This window comes from Homo sapiens, chromosome 4 (genome assembly GCF_000001405.40).
Source record: "Homo sapiens chromosome 4, GRCh38.p14 Primary Assembly".
NCBI lineage: Eukaryota > Metazoa > Chordata > Mammalia > Primates > Hominidae > Homo > Homo sapiens.
Window position 1 is genome coordinate 178,136,171 of NC_000004.12, and position 27,687 is coordinate 178,163,857.

The 27,687-nt window shown below is 38.0% G+C and overlaps 1 long non-coding RNA gene across 1 annotated transcript; it reads left to right on the plus strand.

The window, feature by feature from the left end:
- The first annotated feature begins 604 nt into the window (after positions 1-604).
- On the plus strand, positions 605-27,412 carry LOC105377562 (uncharacterized). The gene is made up of 5 exons (XR_939514.1): positions 605-976; positions 4,900-5,047; positions 5,256-5,379; positions 13,568-13,629; positions 27,259-27,412. It is a non-coding gene; the product is annotated as an uncharacterized LOC105377562 (long non-coding RNA).
- The last annotated feature ends 275 nt before the right edge of the window (positions 27,413-27,687 follow it).

Genomic DNA, 27,687 nt, shown 5'->3' on the forward strand with positions numbered 1-27,687 from the left:
CTCCCTATCTCCAACCCTCCAGTAATCCACAGTGTCTACCATTTTCTTATTTGTGTCCATGTGTGCTCAATGTTTAGGTCACACCTAAAAGTGAGAAGATGCAGTATTTGATTTTCTCTTCCTACATTAATTTGCTTAGGACTGTGGCCCCCTGCTCTATCCATGTTTTTGTGCTGCAGAGGACATTGTTTCATTCTTTTTCTGGCTCTGTTGTATTCCATGGTGTATATGAACTACGTATGCTTTATCAAATCCACCATTAATGGGCACCTAGGTTAATTCTATGCCTTTGCTATTGTGAATAGATTGGTGATGAATGAAACCAAAAGTTGATTATTAAAAAAAAAAAAAAAAAAAAAAAAAAAAACAAGTGTAAGGAAAATGGCTGGGCTTCAGTCAGGAGTAGGCTGAGGCAGACATCCGGTGCAGCATGACACAGAGGCTTTGGGGCCCGGCACACAACCCCGTGCACTATGTCATCATGTTTATGTAGCCATTTTGATGTAACCTGTTTTTGTGAGCTCATACCTGGCTTTCAGCGACTGTTGTCTGTGAAAAATATAACTGCACTGCTGACTCTGTAGTAGGGAGAGAGATGAATAAAGCCATGTCCCACCTACGGTCCCTCGAGGGTCTTTTCAGCTACCCACCACCTGTCCACCAACTCCCCTCCGACCCCAGCTCAGGTTGAAACCTGACAATTGGTGTAGTTGGCAGGATCCCAAGGTGAGACAGCCCTTAGTCCCCGATGATCCCGGTCAGCCATGTGGCCCCAGCATGGGTTGTGGTACCCGCTGGCAGCCGTGCTGCTAGGATGGGCCCTGGTGGATAGGTCCCCCATGAGCAGGGAGAAGGCGCAGAAGCACCTGGAAGCACAGAACACTGAGGGAGCGGCGCCTTTGCCAGTAGAGTTGGATGGACGATTTTGGCTGCGCTATGGGAAGTACAAGCTCAGTCTCTGCGGGATGCAGCGCAGGTAAGGGACCTCCAGGCACAAGCAGAGAACCTGGAGGCCTGGATACACAGCTTGGAATGGGAATTAGGGGCTGCCGTTAGTCGGGCCTGGGCCCACCATCCAGGTCAGAGACCCTCGCTCGGTCTGATACCAAGGAGGAAGGACACCCTGTTGTGGGCTCGCCCAGTGGTCCATCAGAAAATAGAGCATGAACAGCCTTTGGGGCCCCAGGGGCGGGCTCAGGGACCCCCTACCATGACAGAGCACATGTCACACAGTGCCTATATCCCAACTGAGTTGCAGGAATTAGGTAAACAGTGCCGGCAGCACGTGGGGGAACCCCTACCTGCCTGGATGCTGCGCCTATGGGATGAGGGAGCCAACAGCATTGTCTGCTCCACCTCTGAAATGGAAAAGTTGGCCTCCATTACGACCCATTCCTCCCTCCATCGGCGATTGCAGTTCAGCAGGCAGTTACCATAGGGGCAAGGTGACTACACCCTAATTGAATGACTGATGGTGGCCATACGAACCGTATGGAATGATGCCGGAGAAATACCAGAAGCTGACTAAATGAGTCATATATAAATTTGGTGCAAATAATTTGGGAGACGGGTATATGGCAGGCTATGCTGGATCTGAATACCCAAGGGCCAGATGATGAACGCTTTACCTCCCACGTGAGGGACCTTGTGTTAGGGTCTCCGCCTCCGAGTGTCTTCGGCTCCTTGGCCACTGTCCTCACTCCATGCATGGGGTGCCACATACATGTGGGTACTACTGCCGTGGCGGCCCACAGGGAAGCAGAGGGCTGTTGGGGGGACCGGGGAGTCCCTGCCATAAAAAGGGGGCAGGCAGCCCTTCCACAGGACCCCACCTCATGGGACAAAAAGGGGCCCCAACAGGTGACTCACATGCAGATGTGGACTGATGATTTTGGCTGGGGTTGCCGGAGAGAAAATTGATAGGTAACCCGATAAAGCCCTGTTAACTTTGTGGAGGCAGTTGTCCTAGGAGCAACAATTCTAGAAAATTCTCAAGAGGGGGCAGGACAATGCTGCTCGACCCAGTCCCGCACAGACGCGCCAGCTCAAGGACTACTGGCAGACGGGAGGAGGTATAGAGCCCTTTGTGTTTGCTTAGGGAACTGGCTGAGGTGCCCGGCTTGGGGTGCCTCCTAACGACCGAAGGCCACATGTGGAATTGGCAATCCACTGGTTCCCCAGCAAGGAACAGTGTGTGCTGGTCCTGGTAGACACCAGTGCAGATCGCAGCCTCATCTATGGGAACCCGGATAAGTTTCTGGGCAAGGCTGTATGTATAGACGGCTGTGGAGGCTGGTCATTGAGAATGAAACCTGTATCTTTGCACCTTGGCACTGGCCACTTGGCTCCCTGCTTATACACCGCATATGTCTCTCCCATACCTGAATACGTTCTGGGGGTGGATATTTTACACAGCTTGGCTTCACAAACCACGGCCGGATAATTCAGACGCCAACTATGTGTGGTTAAGCCAGTACTGCGCTGACATACGGGCATCACCCGCCCCAGGTCCTGCCACAACCCCGACGGGTTAATTCCACCTGTCAATACCACTTGGCTGGTGGGCAGATGGAGATAACTGAGACTATTCATAAGTTAGTGAAGGTGCAGATAGTGCGTGGCATGCACAGCCCTTACGATTCTCCAGTATGGCCAGTCAGCAAGCCTGATGGACCTTGGTGGGTGACGTTGGATTACTGAGAACTAAATAAAGTAACACCCCTTTTACATGCAGCTGTGCCTTCTATCACGGATTTGATGGACCACTTGACAATGGAATTGGGACAGCACCACTATGTGGTGAACTTGGCCAATGCATTCTTCTCAATTGACATTGCTCCAGAGAGCCAGGAAGTTTGCCTTCATGTGGGAGGGGTGACAATAGACTTTGACGGTGTTGCTGCAGGGCTATGTGCATAGCCACGTCATATGTCATGGTCTCCTTGCCACGGATTTAGTGACCTGGAAATGTCCAAAGGGGGTCCACTTATTCCATTATATTGATTATGTTATGTTAACCTCTGATTCTCTTGGAGATTTAGAAGCAGCAGCATCCCTCCTGTGACAACATTTGGCAGTATGCGGTTGGGCTGTCAACAAATCAATGTCCAAAGACCTGATTGTCTGCCAAATTCTTGGGAGTTATCTGGTTGAATAAGACAAAGGCCATACCAGAGGCCATCACTGATAAAATTCAGGCATATCCCCGGCCCACAACGATGTGGCAGCTACAGACTTTTGTGTGCCTTTTGGGATATTGGCAAGCATCGCACCCTATTTGGCTCAGTTGATGAAACACTTGCATTGGTTGACAAAAAAAGGAACTACCTGGAATTGGGCTGATGAGGCTGAGATGGCTTTTCTGGCAGCCAAGCAGGCCATACAGCAAGCACAGGCCCTATGAGTGATTGACCTGGGGCGCCCATTTGAAATGGATGAGCATGTGACCACAGATGACTGTGGCTGGGGCCTATGGCAGTCCATGGAGCACTTCAGAACACTGGTAGACTTTTGGTCCCAGCTTTGGAAGGGAGGTGAGCTCCGATAGTCACTGATAGAGAAGTAGTTAGCAGCTTCATATGCTGCCCTTCAGTCTTGTGAGAGTGTGATGGGATGGGCTGAAGTCATCGTGTGGATGACTTACCCAATAGTGGGGTGGGTACATTCAATGACCCCCCAGACAGGACAGCACAGACATCCACCTTAGCAAAGTGGGGTGCCTACTTAGAACAGCAGAATACCCTGAGTATAAGCCCCTTAGCAGCAGAATTATAAGAAGTCAGGGGACCTGTAGTCCTGATGCATGATAAGGCCATGGATCAGCCTGAGGCACCCTTAAACCCTGAGCCATCAGCATTTAGAAGGGCACTCCTCCATTCCCAATGGGGCATGGTATACAGATGGGTCCAGCTGGAGTGTTACTGCTGCCTGGACCATTGTCATGGTCCAGCCTATTACTGATACCATATGGTTTGATACTGGGTGTGGACAAAGCAGCCAATGAGCTGAACTTAGGGCATTGTGGATGGTGATCACCAAGGAAGAGACACCTAGGCTAATCTGCACCAATAGCCGGGCAGTTTGTAGAGGCCTAACCTTGCAGTTAACGACCTGGAAGTTACAGAATTGGCTAGTTGGCCACCAGGCCATTTGGGACCAGGCCATATGGCAAGACCTATGGGAAATGGGTGTAACCAAGGGATCACCCATAAATCACCAAAAGGATGTAACTATTTATCATGTGTCAGGCCATGTGCCTTTGGCTGCCCCTGGCAATGATAAGGCAGGTGCCTTAGCCAAGGTCCAATGGTTGGAGTCAGCACTTACATGATATGTAGCCCCATGACTGCACCGAAAATTGGGTCGTGCAAGGCGTAAACTAATGCAACAGGTCAAGAAGCATTGGGATCTGTCCATGTCCAAGCAAGATATCTGGGAGGCCTGCCGGAAGTGCCCAGTGTGTGCACCGGCATACCCCCAGGTGGAGACAGCTAGCTGCCCAGTGTTACACAACAAATGACAGTAGGGTGGATGCCCTTGATTAGGTGGCAAACAGACCACATCAGGCCGCTGCCAAGGTCGCGGGGGCATACGCATGTGCTGACAGCTGTAGACACGGCCACCAGTCTGTTGTTTGCCTACACTTGCAGGATGGCTGACCAATAGCATACCATTCAGGCCCTGCAACAGTTGTGTGCCCTATACGGTCACCCCCTGACCATTGAAAGTGATAGGGGAACACATTTTACCGGACAGCAGGTACAAGAGCGGGTGCAATGGATGGACATAAAGTAGAGGTTCCATATTCCATATAACTCACAACCCACTGGCATGATTGAGTGATTTAACGGACTCCTGAAAAATGGGTTACAGTTGCATGTTACTCCCCCTTCTTTACAGGGCTGGAGTTCAAGGTTGGACCTCATGCTCTAAAACATGAATGAATGGCTACGGAAAGGTGGCCCAGACCCGGTGGAGTCACTGTGACACTGGGCCACTGCTCCCATCCTGTTACAGATACACACTAAGGAGGACCTCTTCCAACCAGGTATGAGGACGAATGGTAATCTGTTGTTGCCTGCCCCAATGCCCCTAAAGGCATGGGAACAAAAAGCCTGGCTTTGGCCATGGACCCTCATAGCCTCCCATTGCCAATGGTTGGCTATCATAGACCCCTGGGGGGAGTGCGTACAGTATGATTTACATGTCACTCCTTAGGTATTTAATATATGACCTCTACAATTGACCATTCATAGGGAAATGACCAGGGAAGGAACCCTTCTCCAGGGGACATATGTATTGTTTGTGCAGCCTATTATGAGCTCCCCAGTGACTTTGGAATGGATACAGGACCCAAACGAACAATGGGGAGCTGAAAAGGTATGGTACCATCGCTCAGGGCAGAAGCCCTTGGCAGCTGCATTGTTATCCAGAGATGAAAGGTTGGCCTGTATTTTGCCTGAGGGGTGTGATATACCCGTCAGTACCGGTGCCTGCTTTGTCGTTTCAACCATAGGTTGACATGCTCCAACAGCATTGTGGACTGGGCCCACACCTATGCTGAGGTGACCAATGTTTCCAACTGTTGGATCTACACTGCCCTTCTAGCAGCAGCTCTGGACAGCTTGCCCTTGCACATACATCCAGCTTCTGCGGAAAACTGGACATGGTTAGAGACTTAGGGTACTATGGCCAACGTTTGGAACATGACACAGCAAGCTTCGGATAGGAGGTGCTGCAAAACCCATGGCATGCCTGCCTCCCGGCTGACCTATAGCATCTATGATGGATGGGGCTGGTTAGTTGGAGAACACTTGGTGCCCCCACTACAGGTACCATGATGGATGGAGCAACATTGGGGTAATGTCACGCATAGCCTGCACTAATATAACATATGTCACCACACCAAAGGCGTGGTGGAATAGGTGGCCTCATCAAGGCTGGGCCCTAATGGACTTTGTGCCCCCTGGAGTTTATAGGTGTGTGGAGACATGGGATCATCATACTTACCAGTGAACTGGACTGACTGCTGTACTGGGGGGCGGCCTTATGTGCCTGTCACTGTTATTCCAACATTGCCTAGACACCCACATAACTGGGAGGTGCTACAGTCCCTGTTTTTGCGAGTGCGACGAGCTCCCGGTGGCTCTACACCTTAGCATTAATCATCCCTGGAGCAGGTGTCAGAACTGTAGAAATGCAAGTTACGGCCCTTGCGGAGCACACTACTGGAGTCTTGAATTACACCCTAGTTGCCCTCCTTCTGTAGACAGATGAGGCTGATCAAACCAGTAGGTGGTACTGCAGAACCAGATGGCCCTAGACATATTAACTGCTGCCCAAGGTGGCACCTGTGCTCTTTTGGGAATGCAATGTTTTACCTTCATCCATGACAATCAACAAAACATAACAGTAGCTTTGCAAGGAGTTTCCCAGAAAATCAAGGCAGTTGAGAGCCTTACTGATGACCCCTTACAGACATGGTAGGCATCTCTGGGCTCTGGCTTATATTGCACCCTAATAATTATGGGCAGCATAGTGGGAATATTACTAGTGAGCTGTTGCTCCCTGTATTGCTGCTGTGGCCTCTGGGTCCAAGGTTCTGCCCTGTGGGCAAGTCTCCCCACTAGGAGAACTCCCTTGGCCTAGGGAGTGGAGTGTAAGGAAAATGGGTGTGCTTCAGTCAGGAGTAGGTGGAGGCAGACATCGGTACACCATGACACAGCGCTGGTGCAACACCCTGTGCATTACGTAATCACATTTATGTAGCCATTTTGATGTAACCTGTTTTTGTGAGCTCATACCTGGCTTTGAGCCACTGTTGTCTGTGAAAAATATAACCGCATTGCTGACTCTGTAGGAGACCATTTCCCACCTGCCTATGGTCCCCTGAGTGTTCTTTCAGCTACCCGCCACCCGTCCACCGACTCCCCTCGGACCCCAGCTTGGGTTGCAACCTGACAGCAAGGTTGATAGACTGCTAGCTAGTGTAACAAAGACAAAAGAGAAGATCCACATAAGTACAATCAGAAATGACAAAATGACATTACATCTGATCCCACAGAGTTTCATAAGATCCTCAGAGACTATTATGAACAAGTCTATGCACACAAATTAGAATATCTAGAGGAAATGAATAAATTCCTGGAAGCACACACTCTCCCAAGATTGAATCAAGAAGAGATTGAAACCATGAGTAGACCAATATAGGGCTCTGACAATTGAATCGGCAATAAATTCTTAAAAGTCAACAATAAGTAAATTAAAAACCTGATTTAAAAATGGGTGAAGGACCTTAACAGACACATCACAAATGAAAATACATAAATGACAGATAAGCATATGAAAAGTTGTTCCACTTTATATGTCATTAGAGAAATGTAAATTTAAATGACAGCGAGATACAGCCACATACCTCTTAGAATGGCCAATATCCAGAACACTGACAGCACCAAACGCTGGTGAGGAGGTGAAGCAACAATAACTCTCATTCATTGCTGACACAAAGGCAAAATGGTAGACACTTTGGAATTCAATATGACAGTTTCTTATGAGACAAAACTACTCTTGCCATGTGATCTAGCAATCACACATCTCGGTATTTACCCAAATAAGTTGAAAACTTACATCCACACAAAAACCTACACAAAGTTGTTTACAACAGCTTTATTCATGATTGTCAAAACTTCAAAGCAACCAAGATATCCTTTACTAGATGATGAGAAAAATAAACTGGTACCACCTGACAATGGAATATAATTGAACAATAAAAAGAAATGAGCTACCGAGCCATGAAAAGATATGGCGGTAACTTAAACGCACATAACTAAGCGAAAGAAGCCAATCTGAAAGGGCACAGGCTATGTAATTCCAACTATCTGACACTCTATGGCAAAACTATGGAGACAGTAAAAAGGTCAGTGGTTGTCAGGGGTTAGAGGTGGGGGGAAGGATAAATAGGTGGAATACAAAGGATTTTTAAGGCAGTTTTAAACTATTCTGTACGATATTACAATGGCGGTTACGTCATTATACTTTTCTTCTGAACCCGTAGAATATATAATATGGACAGTGAACCCTATTGTTAACTATGGACTTTGAGTGATAATGATGTGTCAGTGTAGGTCCACCAATTCTAACAACTGGACCACTCAGGTGGGGGATATTGATAATGGAGTCTATGCCTGTGTAAGAGCAGGTAGTATATAGGAAATCTCTGTATTTTCTGTTCAGTTTTGCTGTGAACATAAAACTGCTGTAAAAAGGTCTCTTAAAAATAAGGTACAAACCATATCAGTTTTGTGATTTACAGAGATTTGTTATCTGAAACTAATTCACAACATATTTATCTGTTACATCATTTAGTGAGTCAACTTTTCGGATAAGAATCTTAGCTAAAACATGCGGTGTTTGGTTTTTTGTCCTTGCGATAGTTTGCTGACACAGGAAGGGGAACATCACACACCGGGGCCTGTTGTAGGGTCGGAGGAGGTGGGGAGGGATAGCATTAGGAGATATACCTAATGTTAAATGACGAGTTAATGGGTGCAGCACACCAACATGGCACATGTATATATATGTAACAAACCTGCACGTTGTGCACATGTACCCTAAAACTTAAAGTATAATAATAACCCCCCCACAAAAAAAAATCTTAGCTAAAACTGAGAGGAAAAACATTTTGTCACTTAATCCATAGGAATAACAGAAATACAAGGAATTAATTGTTTATATCATCACAATAAATTCTTAACAAGAAAATGTAGTATTAAAAAAATAACCAAATTAGAATGAATGGCACTTTTAAAATAATGTAATATAGCTAGAAAAAAATAGTGTATTTTTTTAACAATTCCAATGATACTAAGTAATAAATTCTAGCCCAGATTTTTTTTATAGCAAGTTAATTTAGGACCTAGTTACATATTTCTCTTCCTCCTGGTTGGGGTAAAAATTTAAGCTTAATGCTGCCCAATCAATATTTCAAAAAGCTTGTCTTGATCATCTTCTTTTAATTACATAATAAAGTGCTTCTAAAATTACTCTTTCAGTGGAAGCAATTGGTTTATATATTTAAATGTCTGTCATGGCATATAAAGGATCAGGTGCACTCTTCAAAAAGAAAAAATATCTTTCCTCGTATTCTGTTATATTGTCCTTTTACTTTTTAAAAAATTGTCATATTATTTGCTGCCTTTGAACTTATCAAAAATAAGTAACATATCTTTAGAAAATAAGTAACTCCTATAATTTTAAAGGGCATTGCAGGAGTGAGAATAAAGCTTTACACATTTTTAACTCTTCTCTAACATTTGGCAATCAATGCGAGCTGTATTAGTCCAGCTTGTAAGGTGGAAGCTGTAACTGTAACTTCCAGGCTAGTCACATAGTTCCCCTGAGGTCAATAACCTTTTAACACATCTACAGGTTGGTGGTGTAAAATAACAGCTCTTTGATTTTTAACAAAATATGGAATGATTCATTCAATAATACACTGAAATTTTATTGAGTCTATGTGTATGATGGAATTTTTGGGGATCTTACAATTTAACAGTAAATAAAAAGTTTTAAAAAAGAATCCTTCAATTGAGATATAGAGAGGGAAGATGAACGGTAAAGAATAAAGAATTAATAGGTGAAAATAAGGCTTACTAGAGGACAATAAGTGCTATGCAAATTTTTTAAAAAGAGGTAGACGGTTGGTGGGTAGGTGTCAATGCTAAATAGGGTGGCTGGAAGAGGCCCCAGAGAGAAGAAGTAACGAGCAGATACCATCATGGGAAATGACCTTTCTGGTAGGGAGCCATATGCTGGAAGAACAAAGACGTTCTTCTAATGTGAAGAGAAAAATATAGTGGAAATCACTGAATATGTGTCTCCATGTTCTTTGGTCCAACAGGGTTATAGAAGCAGTGCTCAGTAGCCAATTAGGAGAATAAAAGGGCAAGGAATTGCAGAGAGAAATAATATGATGAGAGAAATTTTGCCTTGAGGTTTTCAGGTCCCTGGTATAAGCAACACACAGACAAATATTGGGCCCACTTAGCGTAATTAGACTAATTAAAAGCAATTAACCCATCCTCCACCTACAAAATGAAGAAGTTTAGAGCTGCAGCTCAGCTTAGATATGTATGCTTCTGGTTGAAAAAACCCTTCAGCTAATTTGTCCTGCTGCTGTGTTAATTGAAACTCAGTTGATTGAAAAAAAAAAAAAAAAAAACTTGGAAAAGAAAAGCCCTTCATCTAAAAAGAGAGTCATTTATTCTGACAATTACAATTATTGAAATGTTCTTTTCTATACCTATATGACAGGAATATTATGCTGCTAAGCATATACGCATCCACAGACACATAGGCCCACCAAAATACACAGAATTTCTCTTAAAAGATTAGAGTGGTATTTTTAATAGAAAAAGAAGACCCATAGGATGTAAGCTTTGAAGTAAATTAAGATTTGCCTTTACCATATTGGAAAATAAAGTTGTGATTGGAAGACTTGATTTTAGTGGGTTAAGAAAAGAAGTATTTTATTCAGAATATTTTACATATAAAGATTTGTGCCCATATACACACAAACATTCACAGAACATATATACAGTATCATTATCAGAGGCTGAGCTCTGAAATATTTTTATTTTCTGTGTGATAATGTATGAAGGAATGAGTTACCATCATTCTAATTTTATTAAGTAAGCTTTATCAATTTCTATACACAAAAATACACACATATGCAGACACATAGGGTTCAAATATAATCTGTATTTCTATAAATTTTGCTTTATAAAATGCCCCTTTTAAATCTTGCTCTATTGTGAAGTTGACAGGGAGTCTTTAAAATGATTATAATTAATTCTAGTGTTATATGCTTAACTGATAGATATGTTAAGTATCATAGAGGAATAACATCCACCATATAGCTGCAAAAAGAATTTTAGAAGTTTGGCCAGTTTACAAAAGAAAAGGATTCTAAGAAAAGCAGGCTAATGAATAGAATAAACTTAGTCCAAAATATCATACATTAACAATAAAATTTTAAGCAAGTATTAATTTTTTCAAAGAAATCAATATGACATATTTAGGAGTTCATTACAGAGGAGGGTGAATAATAAACCTGGAAAGAAAAAGCATGAATATATCTTTATAAAATCAAAAGAATATTTGCTACTACTCTGTTTACCATTGTGCTAAATGTAGCATGTAGCATCTTGTCTTATCTTTATCTCTTTAATATCAGTATTTAAGCTAAGCAAACAGATTGCATTTTAGAATAAATAATAAAATTATCTCTGTATGTGTGTTGGTTTTTTTCTTTTTGTTCTTTGCTTATGGCCAGTCTTTTTAAAAATCCATTTCCTATAGTATAAACAGAAGGATGTATTTAAATCATGGATTATTCTTACTATTTAAAAATACTGCTATTTTATTGTGAAAAGAGCAGTACTAGGATTGAGAAATGATAAAACTATGAAAATTATCGTGTTAATGTAAAATCCAGTTGGTTTCACTAAAATGAAATAAAACCCAAAACCTGTTTTATTGATTCACACAAAACTTTATAAATTATTACCTACCCTTAGAGATTTTGGAACATTATAAAACAGACTTAGTTTCCCCCTATGAATGTGAAAGAAAATGGAAAAATAATCATCTCATGAGAAAATGGCTTTGAAACAAGAGTAACTTCTATAAGAAAACAGCTGTTTCAAGCACAATTATTTACAGATTTTTTTCTTGGACAAATAATTTCTTAAAACATCATTATATCAGAGATTACAATGTTCAATTAAGCCTGGAAAGAAAGCACTGTATGAGGAGATATAAATGTCCAGATTGCATCTTACCCTCTGCCCGGAAAAGCTAATGTACTGAGAACAGCAGGTTTTTGCAATAGAGAAAGAATGTAATAAATATACAGCCAACTAAGTGAGAGGACAGGAGTTTATTTTTACTCAAATTAGCCTCCTTGAGAATTTTGAGGCTAGAGATTTTTAAGAATAATTTGGCAGATGGGGGTTGGGATTAGAGAATCCTTATTTGTCGGGTTGGGATGAAATCATAGGGAGTAATAACTTGTCTTCTTGCACTGAATCAGTTCCTGAATGGGGCCAGCAAGACCAGATGAGCCTGTTTACCAGTCTCAGTGGTGCCAGCTGGTCCACCAGAATGCAGGGTCTGAAAAATACCTCAAACCCTAATCTCAGGTTTACAATAGTGATGTTATCTATAGGAGCAATTAGGGAGTTTAGGAACTGTGCGGCCTCTGGCTGCATGACTCCTGAGCCATAATTTATATTCTTGTGGATAATTTATTAGTTTTATACATGCAGTTTGATCACCAAGCACCGAGGGAGTTTGTTGCAAGAATAGGCTGTTACCTTCTTTCTTTCAAAGTTAAACTATGAACTAAATTCCTTCCAAAGCTAGCTTGACCTATGCCCAGGCATGAACAAGGGCAGCTTGGAGGCAAGAAGCAAGATAGAGCCAGTTATGTCAGATTTCTTTCACTGTCATAAATTTCCCTTGTCAGATTTATCTCACTGTCATAATTTTGCAAAAACAGTATCAGGGATATCTTTCCATAAACAACATATAGTTTTATGATTAATAGAACCCAATTATACTGAAGGCAAAATAATAGATTATTGTAAACTTCATTATTAATAAAAGAGTCAATTATTGAACATATAATATAATGGAAAATTTAGAAACATCCTATTTGTGAACTTAGTATGTAGAAATTTTTTTCTGTATCTGTGGAAGAAATGTAATAAACCAAGTTATTCCATTTAACCCAATGAATTTAAAAGAAAAAATTTGTTTTGGACATACTATTGCTTTAATTACATTTTGATATCATTTCAGGTATGGAAATGAATTGGCTACTATATGATGCTATTTGAAATGTATGTATTTATAATTTGTTTGAAAGCTTAGTATTTCAGTGTCTCTCAAAATAGTAAAGATGTTCGGCCGTTTGCGGTGGCTCACGCTTGTAATCCCAGCATTTTGGGAGGCTGAGGCAGGTGGTAATGAGGTCAGGAGATCAAGACCATCCTGGCCAACATGGTTTAGTAGAAACCCCGTCTATACTAAAAATACAAAAATTAGGCAGCATGGTGGCACGCCCCTGTAGTCCCAGCTACTCGGGAGGCTGAGGCAGGAGAATCACTTGAACCTGGGAGGCAGAGGCTGCAGTGAGCCGAGATCATGCCACTGTACTCCAGCTTGGGTGACAGAGAGAGACTCCGTCTCAAAAAAAAAGTTATTCATTCTGTATGATCTACATTGTACTTTAAAAATATGTCATATGGATATTACTATAAAATTAGAAATATTGTGTGCATACTCCTTGTACATCACTGTTTTATCCAAAAAGCCCACAGATTACAGAACTCCATTATTAGGGTACTGAACCTTCTTGATTTCTCTAATTCTCGGTTTGTAATATCAGAATTAGCTACTACATGGGAAATGAAAATGTATGTAGTAACTTGGCATTTCTAGACAGCTATTCTACTTGGAGATTAATGCTTTACTTCCCTCCCATTTTTCTCTCTTCCTGTTCCAGCAAGAGGCAGCAGAAAATCACCTTGGTTGTCCAAGGAAGATTAATAGTCTTTCAATCTGATGGTAAGTCAGGTCTTACCCACCAAGGAAGGGAGAAACACAGTATTAGCACACGGCAGAAAAAAAGACAAGCAAATAATATGTCTACTCTTGATAAAGAAGATTTTGATACATTCACAGAGCGAGAAAAAAGTTAGTAATAACTGCTGTGACAGTTAATGCATCCAGTATGTTTATATAAAATGTATGAAGAATATCGGTATTAAAAAAATAAAAAAGCAAAATGTAACAGTACTAGGAGAACTTTAAGATAGCATTCTCACTCATTTGTTTAGAAATTCAAATGATAAACAAGAATCGAGAATATCTGAATAATATTTTATAGCCATTAGAATATGCATGTATGTGTATATATGTATACACATACACAAACACACATTAACATGTTTATATGTATATATATGCAGTAACACGTGTTTGTGTGTGAGTGCATGTATATACATCTCCACAAAACTTTCATACAATTCAATGATGGTTTGTCTTCTAGCTACGAAACATCAAAAATAGATGATCAATTTTACCATATATGAAATTTCACAAAACAATAAAATTTGAAACCATTAAGAAAAGGCCATTTAAATAAATTAAACAATTAGAAATTAAATGCCAAACAAAACACTCTCCTAGGCAGTTTGCTTTCCTAACAGCTTACTAAGCTGCAATTACTCACTTTTCAAAAGCCCAAGTAAAATAATTACACTATACATAATATTTCTGACATGGCCAATGCTGAAAGTAAAGGAACATTTGCAGCCCTAAAATACTTGTATTATTTTACTAGAGAGAAAAATAAGTGAATCAATCATTTAAATAAGGTTATAAAAATAACCACATAATAAATTAATTATAAATAATTAAAAAAGAAATCAATTTAATCCAAGTGATTTTTTAAATACTTAATATCTTTAAAGATAATTGTTACAAATGGAAGAAAAGCAAAATATTTGTCACAATAATAAATTTATGAACACAGATATGGAGGCATGCTTCCATTTTCTGAACTTCCCTTGACTTTTGCCTGTTGTATATGTTAAGCATGCATGCAGTAAGATAGCAAAACAGAAACAACAGCATTTCCTGCCCTATTACGCTCTCAGAAGTATTAGCCTTCAGCGTGTATTAAGCCCATAGGTCATACTGGTAAATTGTTTTGAATGACAAAGCTACATAATTCGGCTAATAGGGATATCACAGCAGTGAGCAGAACATCGGTGCATCACATAAAAAGGGACATTCTCTCAGTGTGTCCTTTTGGTGCTGTCAACACATAATTTGACTAAAAATCGTCCACCCAGTCTTTCAACTGTAGTGTAACTAATTTTGCATAATAAGTAACCAGGAAGAAATAATTAGAGATTATTATATAAAAACCCTGTTTCCTTTCAACATTTGACCCACTAGCTTTAATAGTCTTCGTAGATTCTTTTCTGAGTCAAGTCTTTGAATGTTGCACATGGTGATTTTCCAACTTTATTATTCCTTCTATATAGTATTTATAGGTTGGAATTCTACTTTAAGAAAGAAATCTCCTTTCCTCCTCTATTCATTTGTTCATTTATTACCTGATGAACACACAGATTTTTATGTTATTCAATAGACTACAGGTTCATTAATATTATTTTACTTTGATTTTTTTTGTACTATATTTGGACAAAGAAACCAATTCAAAATAGCTCTGTTATTACATTTGGTATGACCAGCACCTTTGTTAAGCCAGATTTATTGTTTCTCCTGGTATTCAAAGACATAACAGAATTGAAATAAGTTTTGGATTTTGCTTACACAAGAATCACGCTCTCATTATTTACTTTAAATGTACTTTACTAGTCAGGACTACATAATAACATTGGGGTTGGAAACAGAAACTTTGTCCAAAGTAAACTTGAAAGTTTCTGAGCTATTACAAGCCAAGGCTCAATATGAGCACATATTCATGTGTGAGAGGCTCACTGTACAGTAACATTCTGTATAGAATACAGTCAATATTTATTAAATAGACAAGCTTTTATTTAAAAATTAAAATATGCCCTAATTTGCATATATGTAAATATTTATATATATTGGAAATCTACACCAGTAACTGCCATGATTGTTTAGAATATAGATTCACTAATTTGTTTTTTAGGAAGGAGTATTTTATCACTGATGTTTAAAATCGCCAACAAATACCGATAGTAAAAAGCAGGTCATCTTTTCACTAATTTTAAATATTAGTTTTACATTTTAGATAACACAGTTCCTTATTTTCTATACTCAGGACAGCCCATTTCCATTTGTCAGATTCGATATGCCACACTCTGACCAAACTTTTTTTATCCATTATCATGACCTTTGATTGTTTTTAGTAAATGCTTCTGCACTCAGCATTAATTTATCTAGCTAATACTAATTTTTAGGAGTACTAAGCAAGTGACTTTCCAATTTAGTTTTACTGATGAGTACAGGGCAAATGTAGCCAAATAAGACCAAAAGTAAAATAGTAAACATCCCTTTTAAGGAATAGGAGGAATATTGTATTATTTTGCAATTACATTTTAAGGTTGAAATTAGTGGAGGATTTCTCTGCATCAGACGTTTATATGTTCAAGAGATTATTTCTTACGTAAATGAAGAAATAAGGACACAAAAATAAAAAATAAGCTAGAGAAAGGAAAGCTGATGTTTGAAATAATAACATCAAGTATAACCTTAGATTTTTTAGTATAATTAAAAAATTAAATTTTATTTTCTTAAACTGTATACTTATACTTTCTTAAACAGATACTGTATGTATACACAGATGATTTCCTATTTGTGAAATTTTTATCATGTTTTACTTTATCTGTAAGCATTAATTGGCTTTATATTTGAATATTAATGTTACTTTTATCATAAAGCACTAAATATATTTTACAACAATGTGAACATTCAATGTATTAAAAGTATATAATATAAGTGGCATATTTGTGGCCCACTGGGTTCTATTTATTAATGAACTAGGCAGCAATTGCATGTTTATTTTCATGAAATATGTTCATGAAGAACACAGATGAGACCAAAGTTAAATAAATAATATACCTCTTATATTTTAAGAAAACCAATAATCTCAAATATAAATGACACTGCAGAAAGCCCTGGGACAATACAGTTCTTAGAGTACCACGTCTGCAAAAAAACAGTAATTTTTTTAACAATGTTATGCCAAAAGTTTAGTTTTCCAGAAGACACACTGCTAAAGTTTTTGCAACAATAGCACAGCTATGAAAAATTATCTGTAACGTTCCTAAGGAACACAAAAAGTATAAAAAGTGTAAGTTCTTAATTCCATGAATAATACATAGCTATCTGAAACATGTACATGTGTTTGTGTATTCACACTTAGAAGGGTGATGATCAACAGTTCTACTCAAACTGAAATTTTTAATTTCACTGCATGAAATAGTTATATATCCCTATTCAACATTAAATATTCTTTAGACACAATGTCTTACTTCTTAAAAGAAATCTGATAATAATATTTTTCAGAATTTTATGTAATTCTGAGTGGTTAGACTTTCTTATCATATTTGCTATGTTAATGTTATTTATTCTTTAAATACAGATAAGACATATACATGACCTTTAAGGCCAGTTATTTCCTAGTCCCTTATATTAAAATTATCTGATTTAACTTCACCTGTGTCTTTCATATGCTACAATACATGCTGGCATAACTATATAATTTGTATGTATCTTACATGAAATATTAAAATATTTAACATTCAAAATGATAATTCTAAATTACTTTATTGGTGTAGCCAAATAAATATTCAGTTGTTTACTTCAAATTCACTTATGAAAAAGTCATAATGTCCTCAATAATTTTTAATCAATCTCAAAAAAGGATTGATTATTATAGAAAGTCTTAGATTATGATGCAAATGACATAATGCAAGTTCATAGAAAGTCTTAGATTATGATGACAATGACATAATGCTAGTTCATAGAAAGTCTTAGATTATGACGCTAATGACATAATATAAGTTCATCAACATCAAAACTGACTTTACACAGAGGCATATTAGGACAATAGTCTGCTTTGGAGGATCATGGAGAATATTTTGAAGACATGGCATATTTGCTTATCCTAAAATCTTATCATTATAAATTAAGTCATTTGTTGTTTTCCAAACCAAGTTACACATAAAATAAAGAACTTGTAAGTGGGAAATTAAAAACACCTCCACGAGGCAAGTGCCAGACACATTTTTATAGGAAGGCTATATGACTCAAAAACAATAAGTGAATTGCAGAGGATCAAACATATTTTGTCCAAAAATATGGGTAAGGAGATCTTCATGGAAAATGATGCCGTAAAGATGCTATTACTTTATTAAAGTGGTGGAAAGAGAGCACTGGCAATGGTGGAAATGGTTCCGAAAAGCAGACATACAAATGCAAATCTTCAGAATTCTCTTAGGGCACATTATTACAATCACAAAAAGTGTATTAACATAGTATTGCATGGCAAAGAATATAACAATCTGTAATATACACTCAATACATGACTGACTTTCTAAAATTAAGAAATAATAATAGTAAGAATAACAATACCATTTTCATAGAAAGAAATTCTTATTACTCTATATAAATGAGACATAAGCTTCCTTTACTCGTAATCCATCTGTAGAGTTTAATTAACAATAATATACGAGCTGATAACTATCAGTGGAAATATAAATAAGAATGGAAATAATTGGACTTCTTAAAATTATTTGCTTCTTTTCTTTTTCTTAAATATTGGAAAATATGTATGATTGTTCTTAGAAAAATATTTGTTACCCATTGATTAGGATATCTTTTCATCTGGAACTGTCTGTCTATTCTGGAAAAAGCAGCTGAAAAGACCAAAAGCTGTGCATAGATTTATGTCAGCCACTTGGAGATAGACAAAATTTGAAGTTCAGCATCAAGGAACTTCAAGGAAGGAGAAGCTTATTAAACCTCCAATTGTTTGATTTGGCTTCCTGAAGAGCTAAACCATAGGACTAGGATTTTAAGAGGAACAAGAAAAAAAGAGAGGATTAGTGAAGTGAAAGACAAATTCATAGAAAATATCCAGGCTGATGAACAAAATGAATGGAAGACAAAAAAGAGCACTTACAAATTCTATGGGAACCTACTGACAGAAACTTATGTGCAAATTAGTAAGTCACAAATGGGAGAAGAGAAGAAGGGAAGAAGTGACAATGACTAATTAACATTGCAAACTGAAGAAATTCCAAAATCCTTAGATTTGAGAACTGCCCTGAAGAGAATCAATGCTTAAGCACATCCATAATAGAACTTCTGGAAAACAAAACATAGAAAGAGAAAAGGTCAAAGGCATTTGCAGTAAATTCAAATATAGATAATTCATTAGCAGAGAACTCACAATTACAGGAATATTCAGTGGTATTGATCAAGTTTAAAAAACAAGAAAATATTAATAAAAAACACATGTAGAGAAAATCTAAAGAAATATTGGCTGTGTAAATAAATGCCTTATTTAAAATAAAATTCCATTAAATACACAGGACAAGTGTGCTCCTTTCACTCTGAGTATAGAAACCTGAAAACAAACATCACTCTCAAAGGAAAAATGAGAAACAATGAGATAATATACAAAATATAATTATTTTAATCCATTCAACGAGTTGAAGTTACAAGTCTGTTAAGGGAACTCAACTCCAAGGAGTGTTAAGCTCTTTCCAAGAACACAAGATGTATGAACTGTTACACTTTTGGCAGGACACAGCCAGAAATCTGCAAAAAGCCAAACCAAAGCAATAAAACAAGCACAAAAATCGAACGATATTCTAAAGGGAAACAGTAGGGCTGAATACCAGTTTACAATGATTGGGAGCCCCAGATACAAGAGAAATGTATATTTAATCACAAATGATTCTTCACTTACTTCTGCTAGATTTTTAATAGAAATAGATTTAAATTAAAAACAAATAGCTTTAGGGGTACAATTGTTTTTTGGTTACAGGGATGAATTGCATAGTAGTGCAGTGTGGGCTTTGGGTTTACCCATCACCCAAATAGTATTCATTATTCTTAACAGGTAGTTTTCATCTCTCACTTCCCTCCTACCCTCCTCCCTTCTAAATCTCTTCCAATGCCTGTTAGAGTACCCTGTATGCCTTTACATATGCATAGCTTAACTCCCACTTGTAAGTAAGAACATGCAGTATTTGGCTTTCCATTCCTAAGTTACTTCACTTAGGATAATGGCCTCCAGTTCCAACTTGCATTGGTGCAAAAGACATGATTTCATTCTTTTTTTATGGCAGAGTGGTATTTCATGATATATATATATACAGTACATTTTCTTATCCATGCATCAGTTGATGGGCACTTAGGTTGACTTGAAATGTTTGCAATTGTGAATTGTGCTATGATAAGCCTAAGCGAGTAGGTATCTTTTTGATATAATGACTTCTTCTCCTTTGGGTACATACCCAGTAGTGGGACTGATGGATGGAATGGTAGATCTACTCTTAGTTCTTTGAGAAATCTCAATACTGCAGAAATAGATTTTTGATGGAAATCTTAATGGGCAGAGGAGAAGACTCAATAGAGTCTCCTTAGCGTTCTTAGGAAAGATAACTTTATACCAAGCAAAAATATGTAGTTGAGAAAAAAAATGGAGAAAACAGAGACTGGTTGCAAAATGGCTTGAATGGTGGGGTGACAGAGAGACAGCTGCTATAAAGCAGCTATTCTAAATATTTTTAAGAATTAAACTATGCTGCTAGAGAGCAGTAAAGAAATATAGGCTGTTTTTTCTCTCTCCTGATGAAGGAGTGACAGATTCCGTCATACATAGGCCCCAAGACATATGGATAGAAGCAAACCCATCTGCCTCTAGGGAAGGGTTGGGAAGAACCTGCTCCATGCTCCTGAGAGCAAAGCAAAAATCCACTGCTCTGGGGAAGCGTACATGCAAAATCCTCTGCCCTTGGGGGTGAGGCAGAAAAATCAGGCTCTGAAGTCTTTGGGAATACAAATCGCTGTTCCACTACCACTGTTCACAGGGGAATAACTTTATCTTATAGAAGACCCACAAGAAGCCAGGTGCAGTGGCTCATGCCTGTAATCCCAGCACTTTGGCAGGCTGAGGAGGGTGGATCATTTGATGTCAGGAGTTTGAGACCAGCCTGGCCTACATGGTAAAACCCTGTCTCTACTAAAAACACACAAAAACATTAGCCAAGCATGGTGGTACATGCCTGTAGTCCCATCTTCTGGGGAGGCTGAGGCAGGAGAATTGCTTGAACCCAGGAGGTGGAGGTTCCAGTGACGAGTTCACACTACTGCACTCCACCTTGGGCGACGGAGTCAGACTCTATCTCAAAACAAAACAAAACAAAACAAAACAATAACAACAAAAAAAGACCCACAACAGATACAAGACAAAATTTGGCTGCCATGGGTGGAGCAGAGGCAGGAACACTGAAAAGCCCTAACTCCTGAGGTCCAGGCATGCAGCCCATGCAAAGACTGAGGCTGGATGAGGAGAGACAAGAACTTGCTACCCCAGACATAAGCATAGCATTAGCATAAATAGTATCAAAAGCATAGCAACAGCTTCCACCACTGGAAGAGAGACAAGAGCAAAGAGAAAGAGAGAGAGAACATCCTGTTATTAGAAATCCAGGAACAAGGTGAAAGATGAGGGAAATAATGGAGCGGAAATGCCAAGAGAAGTTCTCCAGAATTCTAGGACACACAACAACAGCACAAAGAGAAATGAATGTGAAGTCTGTGGGAACTGAGAAAATGGTAATGACAAAACACAAGCCTACAAAACACAAGCCTGTCTCACAACCAACAATATTAACCTAACCCTACACAATAACGGCCTGACAAAGAAAGGGTCATACCCATTTCTAGGCATAAATAATGTATACCTGTTTCACCTGCTCTTCTAAACTTAATGTCTGGAATTTGGAATTAGCTATATTATATCAGAGATAAAAATTTCCTTTAGTAGTCTCTCCAGTAAACTAATCACAGCTGAGGAAAGACTCCACTGGACTTAAAAGTAGAATAATAAAAACAATTCAAAATAAAATGCAACAAGAAAATTGTAAAAAGATAAATAGTACACTCAAGAGCTGTGGCACAGAATTTAAAAGTACATGTATTTATAGAGAGAGGAGAGGGAGAAGAAAAGGCAAATAAATTCTTTGAAGAAATAATGGCACAAAAATTTCTAAAGTAAATAAAAAGCTACAAACCACAGATAAAGGAAGTTTCGATAACTCTAACAAGGTAAATACAAAATAAAAGAAATATTTTATAAAGAAAAAAAATCACAGTGTGCTGAAAAATGTTAAGATAAAACCTTGAAGGCATCTAAGGAAAAATGAACATTCTGTACAGAGGAAAAAAGATAACAATGTAAATAGCTTCGTTTTATTTTGTTTTGTTTTTCAGAAACTATGTAAGCCTAAAGAGAGTGGAGAGATATCTTGAAATTGTTGAAAAAAGCAACATGCCAACCTACAATGCTATACCAAGCAAAAATATCTTATATGGTCAAGATAAAAAGAATATAGAAACCAGTTGCAAGATGGCTCATATGACGGGTTTAGAGACAAGAACTCTCAAACATCTATTTTAAATATTTTGAAGGATTAAAGGAAAATGCAGCCTTAATAAATTAATAGTTTGGAAAATGCAAGGAATAAATGGAACCAATTAAAAAATAACCAGACACAGAATTTAGAATGGAAAAGTCCAAGAATCAAAATAAGAAATTCACTGCATGTTGTTAACAGCAGATTGGAGAGAATTGAATAAATGAAAAGTGAACTTCATGATATATTAGTAAAAATGACCTAATCTCAACATATTCTTTATAAGATTGAAGAACAGATTACCAGTTAGGTTCTAACATGGCTTATAGTTGGAGCCTCAGAAAAAAGAGAACCGTGAGATTGGAATGGAACAAGTATTTGAATTAAAAATGAACATTTGTCATTTTTCCAGTTTGATGAAAACACCTACTTACAGACCCATACCAGCAGATCATAGGCAGAATAAATACCAAGAAAATCACATCATAGTAAAACTGCTGAAACACATGACAAATTTTGAAAATAGCCAGAGAACAAAAGAATTATTACAAACAAAATACTGAAATGAGTGATAACTAACATTTAGCCAGACACAACTGAAGCCACAGATAATGCAATGATGTTTCTACAATGCTGAAAGAAAAGTTTTCAGAACAGAATCCAGGAAAAATGTTCTTAAAATTAGAAGGAAATACTTATACAGTTAAATAAATAGTGAAGTTTTGTGGCCACAGACCTGTATTGGGAGAAAGGCTAAAGAATGTACTTTAAGCTGAAAGATAATGGTACCAGGTAAAAAATAAGAAGAGTATCTGAAATTGCAAACGTGGGTAAATACACAATTTTTTATGAATTGATTTCTTTATTGGCAAATGGTAAGAGAAATATAACAGCATTGAAAGGTGAGATTTATACAGTATGTAGAAGAAAGAAATGAAAAAATAGAACAAAGTACAGTGGGTATAAAGTATAAAATGTAAAATGGGAAGTACAAAATAGGAAGTAGGAACCTAGAATCATCACAAGTGATGTGGAAAATGGAATAATAGTAAGTTTAAATGTTGAATATTTGAAGATGTGTAATATAAAATCTAAAGATGCTGCTAAAATAATTACACATATAGAGAGAGTTAAAAGGCACTAGAATATAAATTAATGAAACACAGTAATAGAAAGTAAAGGAATAAACTCACACATATAGTCACTGATTTTTAGAAAAAGGTGTTACTATATTATGATACAATATATATAATATGCTCACCTAATAGTACATAAAAATGACAAAAATTATATTGAAATGGGTCATTGGTCTAAATGTAAGAGCTGAATCTATAAATAAAATAGAAGAAAAATATGAAAAATTCTTATTATCTTGGGTTAGGTAAATAATTTCTTGAGTAGAATACAAAAATCATAAACTATAAAAGAAAAAATATATACATTAGACTTCATCAATTCTTTTTCCTATTCAAAATACATAAATAACAAGTTGGAAAGTAAAACTGTAGCCTAGTAGTAAATGTTTGCAAAATTTTGCCTGAACAAAGAAATGTATTAAGGAGATATATAATATCTATATTCCATAGAGATGTATAATATATGGAATATAGAGAAATAGATATTATATACTTAAAACTCCAATAATTCAATAATAAAAATAACTCCTTGAAAATGAAAAAAAAATTAAACAGACACTCCACTAAAGAAAATATAAGAAAAGAAAAAACCACATGGAAAGTTACTCAACATAATTAGTCATTAAAGAATGCAGATTAAACTACAATAAGTTGCAACTGTATACCTACCTGAAGCCCTAAAACTAAAAACAAACATACAAACACACAAAAAACAATAGCAAAAATATTAAATGCTGGCTAGTAGCAAGTGGAAATCACATAAAATGAGGGTATAAATGCAAAGTGATACTGTAACATTGAATAATGGTTTTGCAATACCTTATGATGTTAAATACACCACAAAACCTAGGGTATTAGTCCATTTTCATACTGCTATGAAGAAATACCCAAGACTAGGTAATTTATAAAGAAAAAGAGGGGTAATGGACTCACAGTTTCGCCTGTCTGGGGAAGCCTCACAATCATGCCAGAAGGCAAAGGAGGAGCAAAGGCATGTCTTACATGGTGGCAGGCAAGACAGCATGTGCAGGGGAGCTGCCCTTTATAAAACCATCAGATCTCATGAGACTTATTCACTATCAGAAGAACAGCCATGGGAAAAACCCACTCCCATGATTCAATTACCTCCCTTTCTGTCCCTCCCATGACACATGAGAATTATGGGAACTACAATTCAAGATGAGATTTGGGTGGGGACACAGCCAAACTATATTATTCTGGCTGTGGCCCCTCCCAAATCTCATGTCTTCACATTTCAAAACACAATAATGTTTTACCAACAGTCTCCCAAAGTCTTAACTCAGTCCAGCATTAACCCAAAAGTCCAAGTCGAAAGTCTGTTCTGAGACAAGCAAGTCCTTTCCACCTATGAGCCTTAAAGTTTCAGAATGTTCTCCTTTGGACTCCATGCCTTACATCCGGGTCACGCTGATGCAAGAGGTGGGCTCCCATGGCCTTGGGCAGCTCTGCCTCTGTGGCTTTGCAGCATACAGCTCCCCTCCTGGTTGTTTTCACAGGCTGGTGTTGAGTTTCTGTGGTTTCTTCCAGTTGCATGGTGCAAGCTGCTGGTGGATCTACCATCCTGGGGTCTGGAGGATAGTGGCCTTCCTCTCACAGCTCCAGCAGGCAGTGCCCTGTTAGGGACTCTGTGTGGGAGCACCCACCCCACATTTCCCTTCTGTACTGCCCTACAAGAGGTTCTCCATGAGGGCTCCACCCATGCAGCAGACTTTTGCCTGGACATCCAGGCATTTCCATACAACCTCTGAAATATAGATGGAGATTCCCAAACCTCAATTATTGACTTCTGTACCTCTACACACTCAACACCATGTGGAAATTGCCAAGGCTTGGGGCTTGCACCCTCTGAAGCCATGGCCTGAGATGTACATTGGCCCATTTTAGACACAGCTAGAGTGGCTGGGACACAGAGCACCAACTCTCAAGTCTGCACACAGCAGGAGGGCCCTGGACCCACCCCAGGAAACCATTTTTTCCTCATAGGCCCCCAGGCCTGTGATGGGAGAGGCTGTCATGAAGGTCTCTGACATACCCTGGGGATATTTTCCCCATTGTCTTGGTGATTAACATTCTGCTCCTTGTTACTTATGCAAATTTCTGCAGCCAGCTTGAATTTCTCTCCAGAAAATGGCTTTTTCTTTTCTATTGCATCATCGGGCTGCAAATTTTTTTTATGCTTTTATTCTCTTCTTCCTCTTAAACACTTCGCTGCTTAGAAATTTCCTCTGCCAGATACACTAAATCATCTCTCTTAAGTTCAGAGTGCCACAGATTTCTAGGGCAGGGGTAAAATGCCACCAGTCTCTTCACATAGCAAGAGTGACTTTTACTCCAGTTCTCAACAAGTTCCTCATCTCCATCTAAGACCATCTCAGCCTAGACCTTCTTGTCCATATTACTGTCAGCATTTTGGTCAGAGCTATTCAACAAGTCTTTAAGAAGTTCCAAATTTTCCCACTTCTTCTTGTCTTCTCAGCCATCCAAGTCTCTAGGAAGTTCCAAACTTTCCCACATTTTCTTATCTTCTTCTGAGCCTTCCAAACTGTTTCAACCTCTGCGTGTTTCCCAGTTCCAAAGCTGCTTCCACATTTTTTGGGTATCTTTACAGCAGTACCCACCCCTGGTACCAATTTATTGTATTAGTCCATTTTCATACTGCTATGAAGAAATACTCAAGACTGAGAATTATGAAGAAAAAGAGGTTTAATGGCCTCATAATCACGTTGGAAAGTGAAGGAGGAGGAAAGTCATGTATTACATGGTGGCAACCAAGAGAGTGTGTGCAGAGGAACTGCTATTTATAAAACTATTGTATCTCATGAGACTTATTCACTCTCAGGAGAACAGCATGATAAAACCTGCCCCCATGATTCAATTACCTTCCACTGGGTCCCTGCCATGACATATGGGGATTATGGGAATTACAATTCAAGATGAAATTTGGGGGAGGACACAGCCAAACCATCTAGCAACCTAACCCTAAGTATTTACCCAAGAGAGATAAGAACATGTATCCACATGAATGCTTGTGCTCAAAAGTTCATATTAACTTATTAATAATACCCAAAAACTATAAAAAGCTGATAGGACTATATTAATATCAGATAAGTTACACTTTAAGACAAGAAGTATTGCTAGAGAAAACAGAGTTTCTTCATAATGATGAAATAAGAAGTTGATCAGCAAGACATAGCAATCTGAAATTTGTGAAATCCTAATAAAAAAAGACCTCTAAATATGTCAAGCAAAAGCAGATATTCCCTAAGGGAGAAATGGAACAATACAGCACTACAGACATATTGTTTAATGTAATTTCTATAAATGATAGAATTAGGCAAAATACAATATAGAATATGTGAACAACCCTGAGACAACTGATATTTATAAATTCAAGTAATTTAAACAAGTGCAGAGTATATATTCTTTCAAGTGTACATAGAACATTCACTATGACAATCTCACTTTTATATTATACTTTCTTTTATAAATATATTTTGTATAAAAATGAGTTATAAAAATATAAGTATCTTAATAAATTCCAAAAGATGGAATTTTTTAGCATATGTCCTCTTATGAAAACAGAATTAAATTAGAAGTGAAGATAAATTAGATTTTCAGAAAAATTCCCAAATATTTGTGTATTTAATAACATTCGCTTAAATAACCCCTAGATCACAGAATAAAATATAACTAAATTTAGAAGGTATATTGAATTTCTAAAAGTTTAATTTTGACCTATAAGAGATATACGCAATGAAAAATATAAGCTATCAAAATTTTTGGGACACTGCTAAACTATAGCTTGAAGGGACATTTATAATGTCAATGCCTATGGTAGAAAAATGGCCTAAAATTAACAGGCTAAGATTCTTTTTTTTTCTTTCCAGCCTCCAAGATGAGATTGGCTAAGATTATTTCACAGGAAACTAGAAATGGAAGAGCAAAGTGAAGCTAAGGTGATCATGGAAAAGAAATAATTGATGTAAGAACAAATACTAATACCATAAAAACATATCAACATACGACTATGGGAGCAATGCATTTCAGCCCGTAACACTCCCCAGTAGAGAACAAGGTATGGATACCTGCAGTCATCACTTCATTTTCTTTCTGAGCATTTTAGGAATTGCAATAAGGCAAGGAAAAGAAATGCATGACATAAAGTTTGTAAGATAAATATTTAGTCACAGATGACAGTATTGTCTGCATAAAACTTCTGTAGAAATCTCTGAAAGAAGTGTCAGTAGTAATATGTGAATTTATCAAGATAGCAGGATACATGGCCAATTTTTAAAAATCAGTTGTATCTTTTCAAT